The 17,495-nt window shown below is 46.0% G+C and overlaps 2 protein-coding genes across 13 annotated transcripts; one reads left to right on the forward strand and one right to left on the reverse strand.

Annotated features, from left to right (window-relative positions):
* Nucleotides 1-4,210: 4,210 nt before the first annotated feature.
* MAGEA2 (MAGE family member A2) lies at nucleotides 4,211-8,232 on the reverse strand. 8 transcript variants are annotated; one of them, NM_175743.2, is made up of 6 exons: nucleotides 8,136-8,232; nucleotides 7,661-7,739; nucleotides 6,742-6,861; nucleotides 6,073-6,170; nucleotides 5,857-5,922; nucleotides 4,211-5,776 (listed from the first exon to the last, which is right to left on the reverse strand). In NM_175743.2, exon 6 carries the CDS (start codon nucleotides 5,709-5,711, stop codon nucleotides 4,767-4,769), a length of 945 nt encoding a protein of 314 aa, NP_786885.1. In that variant the 5' UTR covers nucleotides 5,712-5,776; nucleotides 5,857-5,922; nucleotides 6,073-6,170; nucleotides 6,742-6,861; nucleotides 7,661-7,739; nucleotides 8,136-8,232; the 3' UTR covers nucleotides 4,211-4,766. The 8 variants fall into 8 exon arrangements, with proteins under 8 accessions (NP_786885.1, NP_786884.1, NP_001269430.1 ...); NM_175742.2 differs by lacking the exon at nucleotides 6,073-6,170 and adding an exon at nucleotides 7,890-7,971; NM_001282501.2 differs by lacking the exon at nucleotides 7,661-7,739.
* Nucleotides 8,233-8,268: 36 nt separating this feature from the next.
* On the forward strand, nucleotides 8,269-14,567 carry CSAG3 (CSAG family member 3). 5 transcript variants are annotated; one of them, NR_130638.2, is made up of 5 exons: nucleotides 8,269-8,329; nucleotides 9,503-9,562; nucleotides 13,255-13,369; nucleotides 13,824-13,996; nucleotides 14,191-14,567. NR_130638.2 is itself a non-coding variant. In XM_024452379.2 (3 exons), the coding sequence occupies exons 2-3, from the start codon at nucleotides 13,719-13,721 to the stop codon at nucleotides 14,258-14,260; spliced, it is 384 nt and encodes a 127-aa protein (XP_024308147.1). In that variant the 5' UTR covers nucleotides 8,797-9,562; nucleotides 13,255-13,718; the 3' UTR covers nucleotides 14,261-14,567. The 5 variants fall into 5 exon arrangements, 4 of the variants coding, with proteins under 4 accessions (XP_024308147.1, XP_047298059.1, NP_001123298.1 ...); XM_024452379.2 differs by lacking the exon at nucleotides 8,269-8,329 and having other exon boundaries at nucleotides 8,797-9,562; nucleotides 13,255-14,032; XM_047442103.1 differs by lacking the exon at nucleotides 8,269-8,329 and having other exon boundaries at nucleotides 8,802-9,562; nucleotides 13,255-13,981.
* The last annotated feature ends 2,928 nt before the right edge of the window (nucleotides 14,568-17,495 follow it).

Below are 17,495 nucleotides of genomic sequence, written 5' to 3' on the forward strand. Positions count from 1 at the left end.
CAAGCCTATTCCTGTTCATTGTCCTGTCCTGCCCCCTCCCTTCCCCCTTCTCTCCCTCAGGCTCCTGACCCCACCGGCCTGAAGTCTGGATTTAGAGCTCGGAGTGCCAGCCTGCCTGGGTCTCAGTGGACTTGGTTTTGCATGTGCTCTCTGTCATTGACACTAGCAATGGCTCTCTCCTGGATCCTCCCTGGATCCTCCCTCACAGGCTGAGGGTCTCCTGTCTGCTCTCCTTCCCTGGTTCCTCTTCAGTCTCACCAAATCCTTCTCAAAGCAGAGAAGAAATATCCTGTCCACACTTCAGAATTTTAAATCAATTGTGATTTTTATGAGAATTTGAATTGGTACAGCATTTTTGTAATAACATTTTAGAAATATTTTAAATGTTAAACTATTTTCACCCTTTCACTTTAACCCAATGTCCATGTTAATATAGCCTTCTTATAAGAAAACCATGTTTGCCTAAAATTCATAGGCAGAGATGTTTATTTTATTCTATTTATCATATAGCAAATGGGAAACAACTTATATGTCCATTAGGAAGAAAGAGTTTAATTAATTTTGGTGCATGTCTACTTTAGAATTATAGAAAGTGGTTTCAAAAGTGAGAAAGATCTACCTGTCTCTATCTATCTATCTATCTATCTATCTATCTATCTATCTATCTATCTATCATCTATACTGTTGTCGAAAGATCCTACATGCATTTTATAAAGTGATAAAAGCAGATCAGTATGTATGTCATTGTTCTTGTATATTGAATAAAAATAATATATTGTTATAGTTTGTCAGTGAAAAGCCTAGAGTCAGCAGTAAAATAATACACAACATTGTTAATTGTGGTGACCTCTGCGGGGGGGCGGGGGGTGTTGTTAACTGTGGAGGAGCTTTGTAAAAAAAAAATTGTGAATTATCTACATTTCTATCATTTTTGAAATAAGAATATATACCAAACTACATTTTAAATAAAAAATATTTAATACTGACAACAGAAATACTAGCCGTGTCAGTTTAAGTAATTGCTAGCTGATGCAACAGAACAACCATGAATGGCTTGACACAACAGAAGTTTATTTTATGTGCAAATAAGTTCTGATGCGGTTTGGCAGGGGCTCTCCACTCTCACATGACCCAGGGATCCAAGCTGCTTCCACCTTTTGATTCCGTCATCTCAAGATGAAGCTGCCATGTTTGCTGTTGAAAGCGGAGAGAAAGCATGGAAATGGCACACTGGCTCTCAAATGCCTGGATGTGACAAACAATGCTTCTGCTCCTGTATTGGTGTAAAGGAAAAGTCACATGATCCTAACTGCAAGGACTTTACTGTTCCCATGTGTCCAGGAAGGAGACAGAGACAAAATGTGGGTGAGTACTATACCCTTCCCCATAAACTGTTACATAGTGGGTGCTCAACAAAAAGCAACTATGATCATTTGGTATTATACTACCCTTCTCATTTCTAGGAGGAGTTTCTGAGAAGGCCAAATTTACCTTGAAGTTCTCCAGCGTTTTCCAGTGTCAAATATGTGACTGATGTTTTCAAACATACGATCACAACTAACTGTTCAAGAATCTTGAAAGTCTCAGCAGGAAGGCTTTCCTTTGTAATATCCTTTAAATCCTTAGTAGGCTGAGAATTGTTCCTCCATTTGATTCCCGGTCAAAATGTTAACCTGTGAATTTCTGCTACCCTCCACACGCCTGTACACCTGTCGAGGTAGGCACGCTGAAGGCCAGTATTTTCCTGTGGAGCAGGTAAACAGACAAGAAACAGAAGGCTGCTTAATTATTCCTCTTTCATTAGAGTTGACATGTTTTCAAGGTATAGTTTTTAAACTCCTGGAGGACTCCAGAAATTTAGGAATTCAGCCTCAGTAAGTAGATGTTTGTTCCACTGGGGTTTCCCAAGGTTTTTCTCATCTAATACTCATGAGAGACGGTTTGCTCTTTGATCATTTATCTGTGCATGTATTCAGAGGCGAATTCCAAAAGGACGCCCTGTGAAAGTCCGATTTCAAGTATCAAGGTGGTTCCAAATCCCTCTAACTTCAGGGTGACATCACACAAGAACCCTTAGATAATATGGCGAATCAGACTCCTCAGCCCATTCAGAAAACGATTAGAGAGTGTGTTGAAGACAACCAGAGTGGTAACCAAGTGTCTAAGCGTCACTGTCCCCGTGTGAGTTTTTATACAAAAGGGTTTTTGACATCATATGGCTTCCTGGGTGAGAGACGGAACAGCCAGAGGACTTCTACTATGAGAAGGAATGCTCCCTGTCAGGAGGTGAGCAGGGGATTCTGGGCTGTTCTGTGAGGATCAGTGAGGAGCTGATCAGCAGGCCCTATAGGTTCCAGAGTCAGACAGGACACATGGAAGTGACCCGGGGAAATGTGCTGTAATTCTGAAAGTGCTGGGGCTGCAGAGAAATGCCCACAACTGGGCAGAGTTAGCTCTCAAGGAACCTAGCGCACACCAGCCCCAAATGGTGTTTGATTCTCACTGTCGCGTTCTCCAGGCCTGCTTCATTATGCTGGCCTCAAGGTCCTTCTTTTTGTCACCTGAGAGACATGGTGCAGTGCTGAGAAGAAAAATGAAGTCGCTGTCAGGAGGTCAGCCTCGGGCTCGGAGAAGTGGGGACAGCATGGGCTCTAAAGGAATTCATGCCAGGGGTCTGGTTCCAGCCCTGTTCCTTACTAGCCACGTGATACTGAGAAATACCCAGGAAATACCCTGTTCTTATATCCCAATTCACAAGCTCTGTAAGCCCTGGATTCTTCATCTGTAAGCAGATGTGATAAGGCCTGTCTAGTAGGACAGTCGGAGTGTATGCAACGCAGGTGAACCACCTGGCTCCGGGCCTGGTGTAAATTGGAAGTTTCACAAATGGCGGATGGCTGTTATTTCCAATATGCTTTAACCCGAGGCCCGAACACTGGGATTTTGTTGTTGTTGTCGTTGTTCTCCAGGACTTATCAGAGAACATACAGCTCAATAGGACATGGAATAATTAGCCCCAAACAGAAGCTTCTTCCATAAAATTCAGTTAAGTATTTCCTCTTAGAGAATGCACTTCAAAATTTGGTTGTGCGGGAGTTTTGCCCAGCCAGGTGCAGCTCAAAGCTCCTAGAATGTGAGTCAAAGACCAACTCCTTCCCTCTCTCCCAGCTGCTTTCCCATCCAAACCACTATATTCATCCACTTTGTTACCATCCAGAATCTAGCCCGTGCTTACAATTGGTCAAATTGCACTTGAGATAACCTAGTTAGAATGCCTTTTTAATGGAGTCAGCTCTGGCTCTCCCTGCCTGGCAGAAAAGCACCTGGCCGGCCGGGCGCGGTGGCTCACGCCTGTAATCCCAGCACTTTGGGAGGCCGAGGCGGGCGGATCACGAGGTCAGGAGATCGAGACCATCCCGGCTAAAACGGTGAAACCCCGTCTCTACTAAAAATACAAAAAAAATTAGCCGGGCGTAGTGGCGGGCGCCTGTAGTCCCAGCTACTTGGGAGGCTGAGGCAGGAGAATGGCGTGAACCCGGGAGGCGGAGCTTGCAGTGAGCCGAGATCCCGCCACTGCACTCCAGCCTGGGCGACAGAGCGAGACTCCGTCTCAAAAAAAAAAAAAAAAAAAAAAAAAAAAAAAAAAAAAAAAAGAAAAGCACCTGGCCAGTGGCTTCTGGGTCACCCTTCCTGGGAAATTCAGCCTTATCGCTCAGGAAACCCTTGCAGATGATGGGTGTCCATCACCTAGATCTTGGGCTGTGTTCAACAGCATTGGGCAAAAACACAGGACACCTTCCATTCCAGCCCCAGGTGGAGATTCCTCTCTCTTCATCCCCATCCTAAAGAAACTGCTCAGGGTAGCATTCCATTCCAGGCTTTTCTCTCACCCTCTGAGAATCTGGCCCTGGACCCACCGGGCATCATTAGAATCAGCTCCTTCAGAAGGAACTGCAGGTTCCCAGATCCCAAATTGCCCCAGCTCAGGGCATTTATACTCACCACTCTCACCTGGAACCCCACACCCTCACCCCTGTCTTACATTTCCACTACATCCTAGAGGACTTCTCGCCACCTTAATTACATGACTGCAGCTCCTAGACTCTATGACCCTATGGGTAGACGTGAGTCTGGCTTACCTTAGAATCCCCACTACTACCAGGGCCTTCCACAGAGCAGATGCTGAGTGAATGGTAAAGAAATGAGCCAGTGAACAGGAAGAATTATTTATTCAGATTTAATTTCTTTTGCATTCTCAAAGAAGCAAAAACATACACATATTTTTAATTTTACATAATAGACTGAGGTATAAGGCAAGAATTAACTATCTTTTGAGTTCCTTGTATCATGTATTTTACTGCTAATTCGTTCACAATATAGGCAAATACATATTCCACTGCTGTTATTATGTGACAACTCACAAAATGGAATGGATTTCCCAATCTGAATAAAAAACAGGACTCTTACCCCTAAACTATATAAACAGCACTATGTGTGACTACTGTCATTCATAAACTTGGATGCTGAAGTTCATCCAACCATTTGTTAAAAGGAACATTTGAACAATTCCAACAGGAAACAAAGATAAATCTCAAAGTCATCCAACAGAACAGAAACTCACTGCTAAGAATGCTGACTGCTCTCTTCAAAGAGGCAGGAATGGGCCTCATATCACACGAGGCAGTGGAAGCTAATGGATGGGGCCCTGGAAGGTGCACTGGCCCAGACCCCCTCCCACTGGCCCTGGCTGCAACATGTGCTGAGACTCACTCTTCTCCCTCTCTCAAAGCCCGTTCATGCAGGGGTGGGTAGGAAATGTGAGGTTCTCCACCGATCTTTAGTGTATGGTGCAGGACTTTCACATAGCTGGTTTCAATGAGGGCCCTTGGACCCCACAGGAACTCGTAGCATGCAGGATCACTGCCGGGCACCTGCCGGTACTCCAGGTAGTTTTCCTGCACCAGATCTTGCATGAGCAGCTTCCTGGGATGTGCGAAGACACTGTCCTCCCTCCCCTCAAACACCTCCAACATACTCAGCTCCTCCCAGATTTTCTCCTCAGGGGCACAGTCGCCCTCTATTGCGATTATGGCCAGGACGATTATCAGGAGGCCTGTCTTGGGCATGACCTGATTGTCGCCCAGCAGGCCATCGTAGGAGAGGCCCAGGCAGGTGACAAGGATGTACAAGTGGCTGATGGGGACCACTTCCACCACCTCGATGCCAAAGACCAGCTGCAAGTACTCGGAGGCTTTGCTGAAGATCACGGGAAAGAAGTCCTGGCAATTTCTGAGGACACTCTCCAGCATTTCTGCCTTTGTGACCGGCTCCCTGGCTCGATACTTGAGGAGCAGAAAATGAACCAACTCAACCATCTTCCTACTGATTGCTGCTTGGAACTCGGACTCCAGGTCGGGAAACATTCTTGGCCCCTCCTCTTCTTGGTTGCTGGAGCCCTCATCGGATTGTCTCCAAAGAGTGTAGTTGATGGTAGTCGAGAAGCTGGAGGCTCCCTGAGGACTGTGGGGAGGACTCGGTGAGTCGGCAGCAGGCACCTCCCCCAGGGTAACTTCCACTAGAGTAGAAGAGGAAGAAGCGGTCTGCTGCTCCTCAGTAGCAGGAGCCTGCGCACCCACCAGGCCCAGGGCCTCTCCTCGGGCCTCAAGGCCTTCTTCAGGCTTGCAGTGCTGACTCCTCTGCTCAAGAGGCATGATGACTCTGGTCAGGGCAGCAGGCAGGAGTGCGGGCAGGAGCTGGGCAATGAAGACCCACAGGCCTGGGGAGAGAAGGAGCGTGTGTGAGGCCTTAGGTGAGAACTGAACTGAACCTTGGAGGCTCTGACAAAGGCTTACTTACAGATCTTCTCCTTCAATGCTCCTCCAGTGCCTCGGGTCCTACTTGTCAGCCTGTCCCCCTCAGAACCTGAAGGAGGAAGTGGGAGGGCACCTCAGGGTACAGCCGGCCAGCACATGCTCAGGCTGCAGGACTGAGAATAGGGAGGGTGAGGCCAGGCCCTCTGGAGTCCCATTTGTTCTGGGCGGGTGGGGCCCTTGGTGTGCATTCCAGGCAAACCTTCAGTGTTGGCACTGTCTGCGTCCCCTCTGCTCTGTGACCTGAGGACACTGACTCAGACCAAGGCCTCACTGCCTGGTTCCTGGAGCTCCTGATTCCTGGGAGAGGAATGCACGGGCCTTCAGTGTGCAGACTGCAAGCACAGCCACGGATTCCCAGAAGTCTCAGCAGGGTTGGCCAGACTCCGTGAGGTCCCCACTCTACTTGGGTGGAGGGTCCCCTCTGTGCTCACTCAGGGCCCTCACCTTTCTCCTTGTAGGGCCTAATCCCACCCTTTTGCTGGCTTGAGAATCTCTCATGTCAAGAACTCACATCCCTGATATGGTACAGAAGGAGATGAGGGGACCCACATCTGGCCATACGTGACCAGGTCCTCCCGCGAAGGACAACGAGAGATGTCCAAATTCATTGGAGTCCAGGTGTCCTGGGTGACGAGTCCGCTTGGTCCTCACGTCCACTCCTGGCAGGGCCTGAGACCCTCCCTCTACTGACCTGACTCCAGCCCCTTCAGACCAAGGCCTCCCCTTCCCTGACATCAAAGATCCCAGGATAATGGAGGGACTTCAGCTGACAGCCCTGCCCAGGGTCTCTGAAGTAACCGCAGGGGCAGGGCAGATTTCTATGGGGCCCCCTGTCTGCATTCTGGCCCAGGAGTACCCTCAATCCTACCTCAGGCTCTCCACCTGGATGCTTGGCAGATCCTAGAACCACTGCATCTGTCGACCAGATGGGGGCCCCTGTGTTGACCTGAGTCACCTTCTGAAAACAAGGTCATCAACTCCCTGAGATCTGGAAACAGAAGTGAGGAGGGGCCACATCCTGTTACCCCCACGTGCGTTGTCCAGGGCTGACCCCTTTGGTTCTAGGGTGAACGTTATGATGGCCTCCTGTGGGTTACTCATCTTTACTCCTGCCAGGGACTGCCCTTTCTCAACCCCCAACCCCCTGAAATGAGCAGACAGCTCCTCTTTACACCAACACCTTATCTCCCTGAGGGTTCCCCAACCTCCTGCCTGTGGTACAAATGAGATTGTCACTTAGGGCCATCCCTGATCAGGTTCCCCCAGAGCTAAGAACAAGGGACGGCCAGACTCTGTGGCATCCCTTCTTTCTGGGCCGGGGGTATCCCCAGTCCTCATGAAGGGGGCACACCTTGGGTCCGGCAGATCCTGGGATTCCTCCCTCTGCTGACCTGAAGTCCCAGCCCTCAGACCACAGCCCTCAACTCTCTGTCACCCTGAAGGTGCAATGAGCACGGGGCACATTCGGCCACTGTGCCCAGGATCCCCCAGCCCAAGGTTGCCACTGATCTGGACTCCAAGGTCCCCTCAGTCCTCCCTCTTCTTCCTCCCCTTGACTCCTCGCAGGGCTGGGCCCCAACCCCCTGCTGAAGTGGGTCTGCATCCCTAGGATTCCCGCGGCTGAATGAAAAGGTGGCTCAGTTTGAGACAGGGGTACAGTGGGCCCCCTGTCCTGGCATGCTGGGTCCCCTAAGGACTCCACTGTCTTCCAGGAGGGCCTGGGCCCTTCCTCTGCATCCCAAAGGCCATACTCACGAGACCCAACCCCTTCCCTCCCTTAGCCGTACATGTGAACGTCAGGATCCGCGTGCTTGGCCGCCATTCCCGGAGCTTCCGTGGGTTGATTGCAGGGGCAAAGCCCGGATTCTGCCAGGATGGTGGTGGGGGAGGAGATGGGAATGGGGTTTGGGGGTGGGGTTGGTGTTTGAGGGATGGGGGTGGGGTTGGTGTTGGGGGATGGGATTGGTAGTGAGGGTAGGGGGTGGGTTGCCCTCAGTCCCCTCTTGGGGTCCTGACCTTGATTCCTGGCTGAGTCTGGGCCCTGAGCACTTCTAACCAGCCCTGCCCTGGTCACACAAAGCTCTTACGCCAGAGTTCCCTGCGGTTAAAGCGGCGGGGGGTGGCGGGGTGAGGTGGTGGCGACTCAGCCTGAGAAGTCTTCCCCTGCAGGGTGGTCCAGGCCCGGCAGCAGAGGCAGCGCTGGATTATTGGGGGCCCTCTGTCTGGGGTGAGGCCCGCCTCAGTCCTCCCTCGGCGTCTTACCTTGCCTCCTCACGGAGCCTGCGCCTGCTTCCCTCCGCCGACGTCAGGCCGTTGCTCAGGGCGAGAATCTCGCTGTCCTCTGACCTCCAATGCGCAAGTCAGTGGCGTCACATCCGGGCCCGTGACTTCCCTGGGTTCACGGCAAGGGTGGAACCGGATTCTGCCCGGATGGGGATCTGGATGGGGGGGTGGGGGTAAGCATGAAGATGGTGTTGGTGTAGGGGTAGGGATTGGGACGGGGATCCTGAGGCTGTAGATCCTGGTGGGGTCGGGGGAGTTGGGGGTGGGAGGGGCCTTTGGTCATCCCTCAAGGTCCTGACTTGGATGCCAGACTGAGCCTGGACCGCCATCCTCTGCCGATTGTGTTTGCTCCCCTCAGACCAAGTCTCTGACTCTGAGTCGGCCCGAAGTGGCATTGGGGGGAGGGGTGTGCTCGGGGTGAGATCATTGCCAGTGTGTACCAGGGCTGACAAGAGGGGCTGAGCTGGATTCTGTGGTCCCACTATGTGGGTGAGGGTGGATCCTCAGTCCTCACTCAGGAGGGTCCTCTTCCTCACTCCTGGCTGTTTGATGAAGGAATGGGTGGGAGATGCTCTGTTTCTGTCACCTCTGAGCATCTGCGCATCTGCGCATCTGCACCCCTTGTAGAGAATGGCTGCGGGTGCCAGGCCAGGTGCTCCCTGCAGGGCAGGAGCTCCCGCGATGATAGTGACCTCTGGGAGAAGACGCACACCTTCCCACGGGGGCTCCTCCCCAGCCAGAGCTACACTTGGCAAACCTTTGGTCCTAAATGATTTATTCTCTGAATTGAAGAAATACGGTTTACATATCTTCTAAGTATATATGTAGGTAGCAATATATATATTTATTTCTATGAACTAACACCTACCCTTAGTATGCATGATTCACTCTGATATCCTAGTCTACTTCCATTCCAGTCTTTGTGTTCTGTTGAAAGAATTTTTTTAAAAAACATAATTCCTCTCCCACTCTGTTGGTTTCAGGTTGTTATTAGCAGAACTCTGGAGCCATGCTGCCTTAACAAACCCAATTTTCCTGGTGGACACTGCTATTACCTAGGGCTCTTGGCATCGTGTTTTCAGGGGCTGCCTCAGATTGTGCAATGAAGTGAAGTGGAAAATTCAAAACTTTTATTCTACCCATTCTTTCATCTGCCGTCTAGGCAGGCTACAAACCTCCCCAACATCTCTGCCGCTAACCCCCTCCAACAGACACTGCAAGTGTCACACACAAGTACCAGCTCAACACAGTCTCCAGTCTCACTCTGGGCTTTCCCTGTTTTGTTGTGTAGATTTTCTTGCTGATACTGGTGTTTTACTTTCTGTTTCCATTCTATAAATTTACAGGGTTGATTTGGGAAGCAGAGCACAGCAGCCCAAATTTGCTTGTAATGTCGGCGGCTACAGGTAAGGCACTAAATTGTAAATAATTTAAGCTGAGTTTACATTTTTACACTGTTGTGTTCCCCGTGAATGAATATGTTATACTCCTCTATGGATTTCAAGCTCTTTTTTCCTGAATATGTCAGTATACTTCGGTAGTTGCCTCTATAAACAACTTATACATTTTTATTAGGCTTCTATTCAGGTAATTCTTGGATTTTGTTGCTATTGCAAGTGGCATATTGTCTATCAATTGTTGTAGTTAGTTATTGCTTTCGTGAGGTGAAGATTTTGATTTTGCTGTAGTAATCTGTTGCACACCTCGTTCTGAAGGCCGATGCACTTGAATATTCCGCATACCTTTTCCTTTGAATTTTCAAGATCGATAATGGTATTATCACTAAACACTACATGTTTTTCCAATGTTCATACCACTCACTCATTTCGGTACTTACAGCTCTTTGTGTCTCAATCCTGATTTCAAATGTAGAGATAATAGGCTACATCTACTTCTCGTTCCTGACTTGAATGATAATTCTTCGAACATTTGACATTTAAGTATGTTTGCTGTTGATTTTAGGAAATGGAAGTTCTCTTTCAGTATAGGTTGCCTAAATATTTTCTTTTTTACCATGAATTCATATTAAATTTATTTAAAAAGCTTTTTCTGTACCCGTTGGCAGGATCAAATTTTTTTCTCTTCCATTTTGTATGTAAGGAATCACAATGAAACAGATGTTTTTTCTAATGTTAAATCATATTTTATTTCCTTGGGCAGAGCCTGTTTATTCGTTTAATGTACTACTAATTTATGTAGGATATTTACTGCTGTGTAAGAGAGCTTACTTGATGTGTTCTTTTTCCATCAGGGGAGGTATGTGGTCCTCATCTGGTTTTTAAATCCAGGAGGGCTAGCCTGGGAGAATGAACTGAACAATTGTCAGTCTTTTGTATGTTCTGGAAGAGTTGATATAAGGCGGTGGTTAGTTTTCCCTGATCATTTGGTAAAATTGGCCTCCAAAGCTGTCTAACCTGGAATGTTTGAGGGTGGCTTGAGCTTTGAATATTGTACAGTTTCTGTTGTATAGTTAAAGTTTTCTTTTCCTCTTTGGATCAGTTTGGTTACTGATTTATTTTATTTCTACAAAGTGGTCAGTTTCATTTAGGATTTCACTTTTAATGGCATATTTATGATAAAAAAGTTTTATTAGGGAAAGCCTTCACACATACAGAATAACAGGAACGAATATAATGAACCCAGGATACTTGATACCGAGCATGAACATCTTTAAATACACAGCAAATCTGGTTCCAGTTAAACACTCGCCTACCTGCATATGAGCTGCTGGAATAACGTGGAGTAAATCTAAGGCATTAGACCATTTCATCTCTAAATAACTTAATATGCATTTTTAAAAGATAAGGATTTTTTTAAAACAAAAAGCCGATAGTTTTCATATCTAAAAAATTAAATAAATGATTATCAAATGTTCAACTATGTTACACACTTATCTGGCCAACTTAAACTTTATAAAATATATATTTCTTTGATGGAGTACAAAATGTGTTAACTTTTCCCCCCACTTGCTTCATTGTGGTGGTTTCATATATCTATTATACAACTAGGTGTGTGTGTGTGTGTGTGTGTGTGTGGAACATTCTACCTGCCGTCCCGTGATTCTCCAACCTCTTAAGTTACTTTTAAACTTTACATACATTAAGCTTCACTCTTTGTGCTGTAAAGATCTATGGGTTTTGACAAATGCCTCGTGCCATTGTCTTAGTCCGTTTGGGCTTCCATAACAAAAATAGTGATAGACTGGGTGGCTTATAGACAACGCAACTTTATTTCTCACATTCTGGAGGTTGGGAAGTCCAAGATCAAGGTGCTGGCAGATTTCATGTCTGGTGGAGTCCTGCTCCCTAGTTCATAGACAGCTGCCTTTTCCCTAGATCCTCACATGCAAGAAGGGATAAGGGATCTCCGTGGAGTCTGTTTTATAAAAACACTAATCCCATTCATGAGGACTCTGCTCTCATGATCTAGTCATTCTCCAAATACCCCACCTTCTGCCTAATACCATCACCTTGGTAATTCAGCAGATGAATTTTGTGGCAACACAAATATTCAGACCAAAGCAAGCACGGAACCACCATTGCAGTATTATGCATACCAGTTTCACTGCCCTGATAAATTCCCTTGTGCTTGTCGGATAAACCCCATGGCCACCACTGATAGGTTTTTCATCTTTATAATTTTGCATTTTCCAGAATGTCATATAAATAGAATCTTATACTATGTAGCCTTTTTAGACTGGTTTCTTTCACTTAGCATAATGAACTGAAGAGTCATGTATAACTTTGTGTGGCTTGGAACTTATTCCTTTTCATTGAGGAGTAGTATCAATGTCTGGTTATATATATATATATATATGTATATATATATATATCCATTCACCAAATGAAATACATTTTGGATGCTTCTATTTTTGGTGATTATGAAATAAGCTATTGTATACATTCATATACAAATTTTTATGTAGACATAAGTTTTCAAATCAATTGGGTAAATTGATTGAGTATGGCTGCTGAATCTTGTGCTAAGTCTATTTTCATTTTTTTAAGAAAACGCCAAACTGCCTTCCAAAGTGGCTGTGCCATTTTGCATTTCTACCAGCAATGAAGGAGAGTTTCCGTTGCTCCACATCTTCGCTGGCAATTGTTCTTGGTCTTGTATTCTTTGTTTTGGTTTTCTATGGATTTTGGACATTCTGATAGGTGTGCAGTGGTATCCCATTTTAGTACACAATTATCTAATGCCAAAGGGTGCTCAGTACTTTTATTATGCTTATTTGCCATGTGTATATCTTCTTTTGTGTAGTGTGTGTTCAGATCTTTGACTATTTTCATTTTTTCTATCATTGAGCTTTAAGAATTCGCATATATTGTAGAGACAAGTTCTTTATCACATATGTGTACCGCAGATGTTTTCTGCTAGTCTGTGGCTTCTGTTTTCATTCTCTTAACATTGTCCTTTGAAGAGCATAAGATTTTTATTTTAATAAAATCAACTTGGCAAATTTTTCTTTCCTTGATCATGCTTTTGGTGTTGAATTTAAAAACTCATCACCAAACTCAAAGTTATGTGGATTTTCTCTTATGTTTTCTTATAGAGGTTGTATTGTTTTTGCATTTTTCATTAGACCTATGATGTATCTTGAGTTAGTTTTCATGGAATATGTAAGGATATGTCCAGGTTATTATAATTTGTGTATAGGTGTCTAATTGTTCCGACACCTTTTGTTGGAAAACCTGTACTTTCACCATTATTGCCTTTGTTGTGAATCACCTGACTATATGCGTGCAGGTCTATTTCTGAGCTCTATTCTGTTTTATTAATCTGTGTGTCTATTCTTTGCTAATGCTTATGTCCTCCACCAAATTCATATTTTGAAGCCCTCAGCCCCAGGGTGTCTGTATTTGGAGATGAGGCTTCTAGGGAAGTGATTAATGTTAAAAGAGGCCATAAGGGTGGGACCTTGATCCCATAGAATTAGTTTGGTTATAAGAAGGGAGAAGAGACAGAAGAAAGTACTTTTGTGCCTACATGACCTTTCTCTCTCTCTCTCTCTCTCTCTTTCTCTCTCTCTCTCTCTCTCTCTCTCTCTCTCTCTCTCTCTCTCTCTTTCTTTCTCTCTCTCTCTGCACATGCACAGAGGAAAGGCCAAGAATGGACAGATTAATAAAGGGCCATCTACAAGCCACGAATAAGGCCATCACCAGAAGCCAACCCCGCCAGTCCTTGATCTAGGACTTCCAGACTTCAAAACTGTGAGAAAAAAAATAAATTTCTGTTGTTTTAGCTACTCACTCAATGGCATTTTGTTATGGCAGCCTGAGCTGACTTAAGACATAACTTCAGGTGACACAATTTTTTTTTTGTTTCCTCCTAGAAAAAAAAAAAGTAATTTTGACATTTAAAGTCTGTAGTTCATTTTGAGTTACATTTCTGTATGGTGCAAGATATGTGCAATGGCTAGTACTATGTGTCAACTTGTCTAGGCTATACTGCTCAGCTGTGTGGTCAAACAGTAGTCTAGATGTTGCTGTGAAGGTATTTTGTAGATGTGATCAACATTTACAATCAGTTGATTTTAAGTAAAGCAGTTTAACTTCCATAATGTGGATGGGCCTCATCCAATTAGTTGAAGGTGTTAAGAGAAAAGACCAAGGTTTCCTGGAAAAGGAATTCTACCACAAGACTAACATAAAAATGCGCTGTGAGTTTCTAGCCTGCTGGCCTGCCTTCACTGTCCTGGGGGAGGCTTGGAGAGACCAGGTGGACTGGAGTAGACTGTTGAGAGACGCTGGTCTGGTGAAGATGTCCAGGAAACCACGAGCCTCCAGCCCATTGTCCAACAACCACCCACCAACACCAAAGAGGCGAGGAAGTGGAAGGCATCCTCTCAACCCTGGCCCAGAAGCCCTATCAAAGTGAACGGCCCACCCAAGCTCTGACTCCTACCCTGTCCTCCCCTGGCACAACCCCCACCCCAGCCTGCACCATTTCTCTATGAAGCCCCTGTTCTCACCCCTCCTCCATCCTCTTCCCCAAACCAGTGCCCTTCTTTGATCTCCCTGTTTCCTTCCAGGTTCCCAAGACAACCCGGAAGGGAAAAGGGACCCATCAAGGAAGTTCCAGGAACAAAAGGCTCTCCCTAAAAGACCGCCGCTTCAAAAAAACCTGAGGAATGGAGTGGGCCAACACTATCCAGCCACTCTGACCAGCCGAACGAGGAACTCAATCAAAATGAGCCATAGCGGGACCACAAGGGCAAGGAGACCACCACCTTCTCCAGTCTCTCTTCGGACAGCCAGTAATTCCCGGGCAAGGCCAGAGACTTCAAGTCTATCTGAAAAGTCTCCAGAGGTCTAACCCCAGATAAATAGCCAACAGGGTGTAGAGTACATTTTACACCCCAAAGAGTGTGCCCCATGGTGATGAAAATAAAGTGAACATGTTGCAAAATGATGTGTGTGTCTGTGTGTCTCAAATGGTAGGGGTAGGGAGTAAGGGGAAAGAGGTAGGAGTGTGGGAAGGGAGGGGGGCATCCTCTACAATTTCTCTAATTCAACTTGCTCTTCGTTCTTTGGTTTCCTAGGGTGAAACTTTTGGTTATTGATTTTAGATTTCATTTTCTAATATAAACATTTAAAATATGCTATATATTTCCCTCAAGGACACACTTTAGCAGAATCCCACTTTTTGTATGTACATTTTTACTTTCATTCAACTTAATGTATTTTTAAAATTCTCCTGAGACTCCCTCTTTGACCCATAGGTTATATAGGAGCTTATTTTAAAATTTCCAATATTTGGGCGTTTTTCAGATATCTTGGTGTTTGGTTTTGAGTTTAATTATATTATGGCCTAAGAAGAGGCTATCTATTATTTCTATTCTTTTCAATTTGTAAGCTTTGTTTGATGGCCCAGAATACCATCTATCTTGGGAGATATTTCATGCACACTTGAGAGGATTGTTTATTCTGCTATTGTTGAATGCGGTGCTTTTCTTATTGTTTTATTTAGTCAGAGTAGTTAATGGTGCTTTTCAGGTCATCTATATCCTTCCTGGTTTTCTGCTTACTTTTTCTCCTAAGTACTGAGAAACAAATCAAAGAGTTTTGAGAAATGTTTAGTCCCATGAAACCACAACCACAGTGAAGGTGAAAAATATATTCATCCTCCCCAAAAGTTTCTTCCTGTCTTCTTGTTGTCAAACCATCCCTTCAGTAGAAGTGATCCAAGGTGAGCAGAAGTGAGCATCCGCTGACCATGACCATTTTCCCTACTAACAGAGGCAGGTAGGCACAGAGAGCAGCAGTTGCTTTCACACACAGGCAGCATCCAGGAAGAAAACCAGATCGATAGTGTAATAGAAGGAGAGCTTTCTGGCCCGGACACAGGCTGTCTCTCCTTTTCTTGCACACTGCCAGTCCCCAAGTCTGGCTCTGCCTTCCTGGCTTCCCTGGCTCAGATGGGCGATTCACACCACCTCTTCATCTCCCCCGACTCCCTACAGACTGAATTAAGGGCCTTGCCACTTTCTATTGTTTTGTTGACTTGGTGTTTCCTCAGCATATATTGAATAAAAGTTTTCTGTAGGAATCAATACGTGCATGGAATGAATGAAATCACCTGGCATGGGAATTCTTTGATTCAAATTATGGAGTCTGCCCTTCCTGGGCCTCCTGCCTACATGAAGAAACCCACAGTTCCTTCACCTGTGCTCACTTGGGTTCAGAAACCCTGTGGAAACTACCACGGAGAGGGTCACTGCAGATGCCTTCTCCCCAGGCCCAAACACTGTCATGGAGGTGAGGATGCTCCCAACAGGATGCTTCCTGTATTGGACCCCACACGTCCCCATCAGTTTAACAAGGAAAGCTGCCACCTGCACTGCCTTGCCATACAACCTGCTCACGTACACACCTTGGTCCAGCCCCCTACCCCAGACACTGTCATCTGGCAACATACGCCAGCGGTCACTGCCCTAGGACTCCTGTCCCGTTCTGTGCCAAGGGTTCAGAAGCCACAGAAGGCTATCTGAGACACAGTGGCCAACTGGAACATTTTCAAGGCACGTCCACAGCCAATCCTTCATCTGCAGAGTCTGAGCTGACTAGTCCCAGGGCACTCCTCCTCCCATTTCTCCTCCATGCAGCCCCACTGCCCCTTTCAACTGCTCATGGGCATTCCTGGCCTGTCTCGGCAGTTGGTCATCAGTCAGCAACCCACTCACATAGCCCAGCCTCTATAGAAGGTCCCCGGGGGATAAAACACCAGCCCCCAGCAGGCATGAAGACAGTTCCCACATCTGGGACGCTGGTGAAGGTACAAAGGACCACTGGAGTGTTCAAGAGAGGTAGCTGGCCCAGAATGACGCAGGGAGTCAGCCAAGCTCTTCCTGAGAGAGGGAAGGGGATTCTGAGGGCGGGAAGGTTGACCAGCACAGCCCTGGTGCATTCAGCCAACACTCAGATCACAGGGCTCCCTCCAGCTGGTGATGATGTTGCCGGGATTTCCCAACTCTATTCCTATTCATTGTCCTGTCCTCCCTCCTCCCTTCCCCCTTCTCTCCCTCAGGCCCCTGACCCCACCGGCCTGAAGTCTGGATTTAGAGCTCGGAGTGACAGCCTGCCTGGGGCTCTGTGGACTTGGTTTCGCATGTGGTCTCTCTCATGGACGCTAGCAACGGCTCTCCCCAGGATCCTCCCTGGATCCTCCCTCACGGGCTGAGGGTCTCCTGTCTGCTCTCATTACCTGGCTCCTCTTCAGTCTCACCAAATCCTTCTCAAAGCAGAGAAGAAATGTCCTGTCCACATTTCAGAATTTTAAATCAATTGTGATTTTTATGAGAATTTGAATTGGTACAGCACTTTTGTAATAACATTTTAGAAATATTTTAAATGTTAAACTATTTTCACCCTTTCACTTTAACCCAGTGTCCATGTTAATATATCCTTCTTATAAGAAAACCATGTTTGCCTAAAAATTCATATTCAGAGATGTTGATTTTATTGTAGTTATCATACAGCAAATGGGAAACAACTTATATGTCCACTAGGAAGAAAGAGTTTAATTAATTGTGGTGCATGTCTACTTTAGAATTATAGAAAGTGGTTTCAAAAGTGAGAAAGATCTATCTATCTATCTATCTATCTACCGTTGTGGAAAGATCCTACATCCATTTTATAAAGTGATAAAAGAATATCAGTATGTATATCATTGTTCTTGTATATTAAATAAAAACAACATATTGTTATAGTTTATCTGTCAGTGAGAAGCCTAGAGTCAGCAGTAAAATAATATACAACACCGTTAATTGTGGTGACCTCTGAGGGGGCGGTGGGGGTGGTGGGCGTTGTTAAATGTGGAGGAGATTTGTAAAGGGGA

This window comes from Homo sapiens, chromosome X (assembly GCF_000001405.40).
Source record: "Homo sapiens chromosome X, GRCh38.p14 Primary Assembly".
Taxonomy (NCBI): Eukaryota; Metazoa; Chordata; class Mammalia; order Primates; family Hominidae; genus Homo; species Homo sapiens.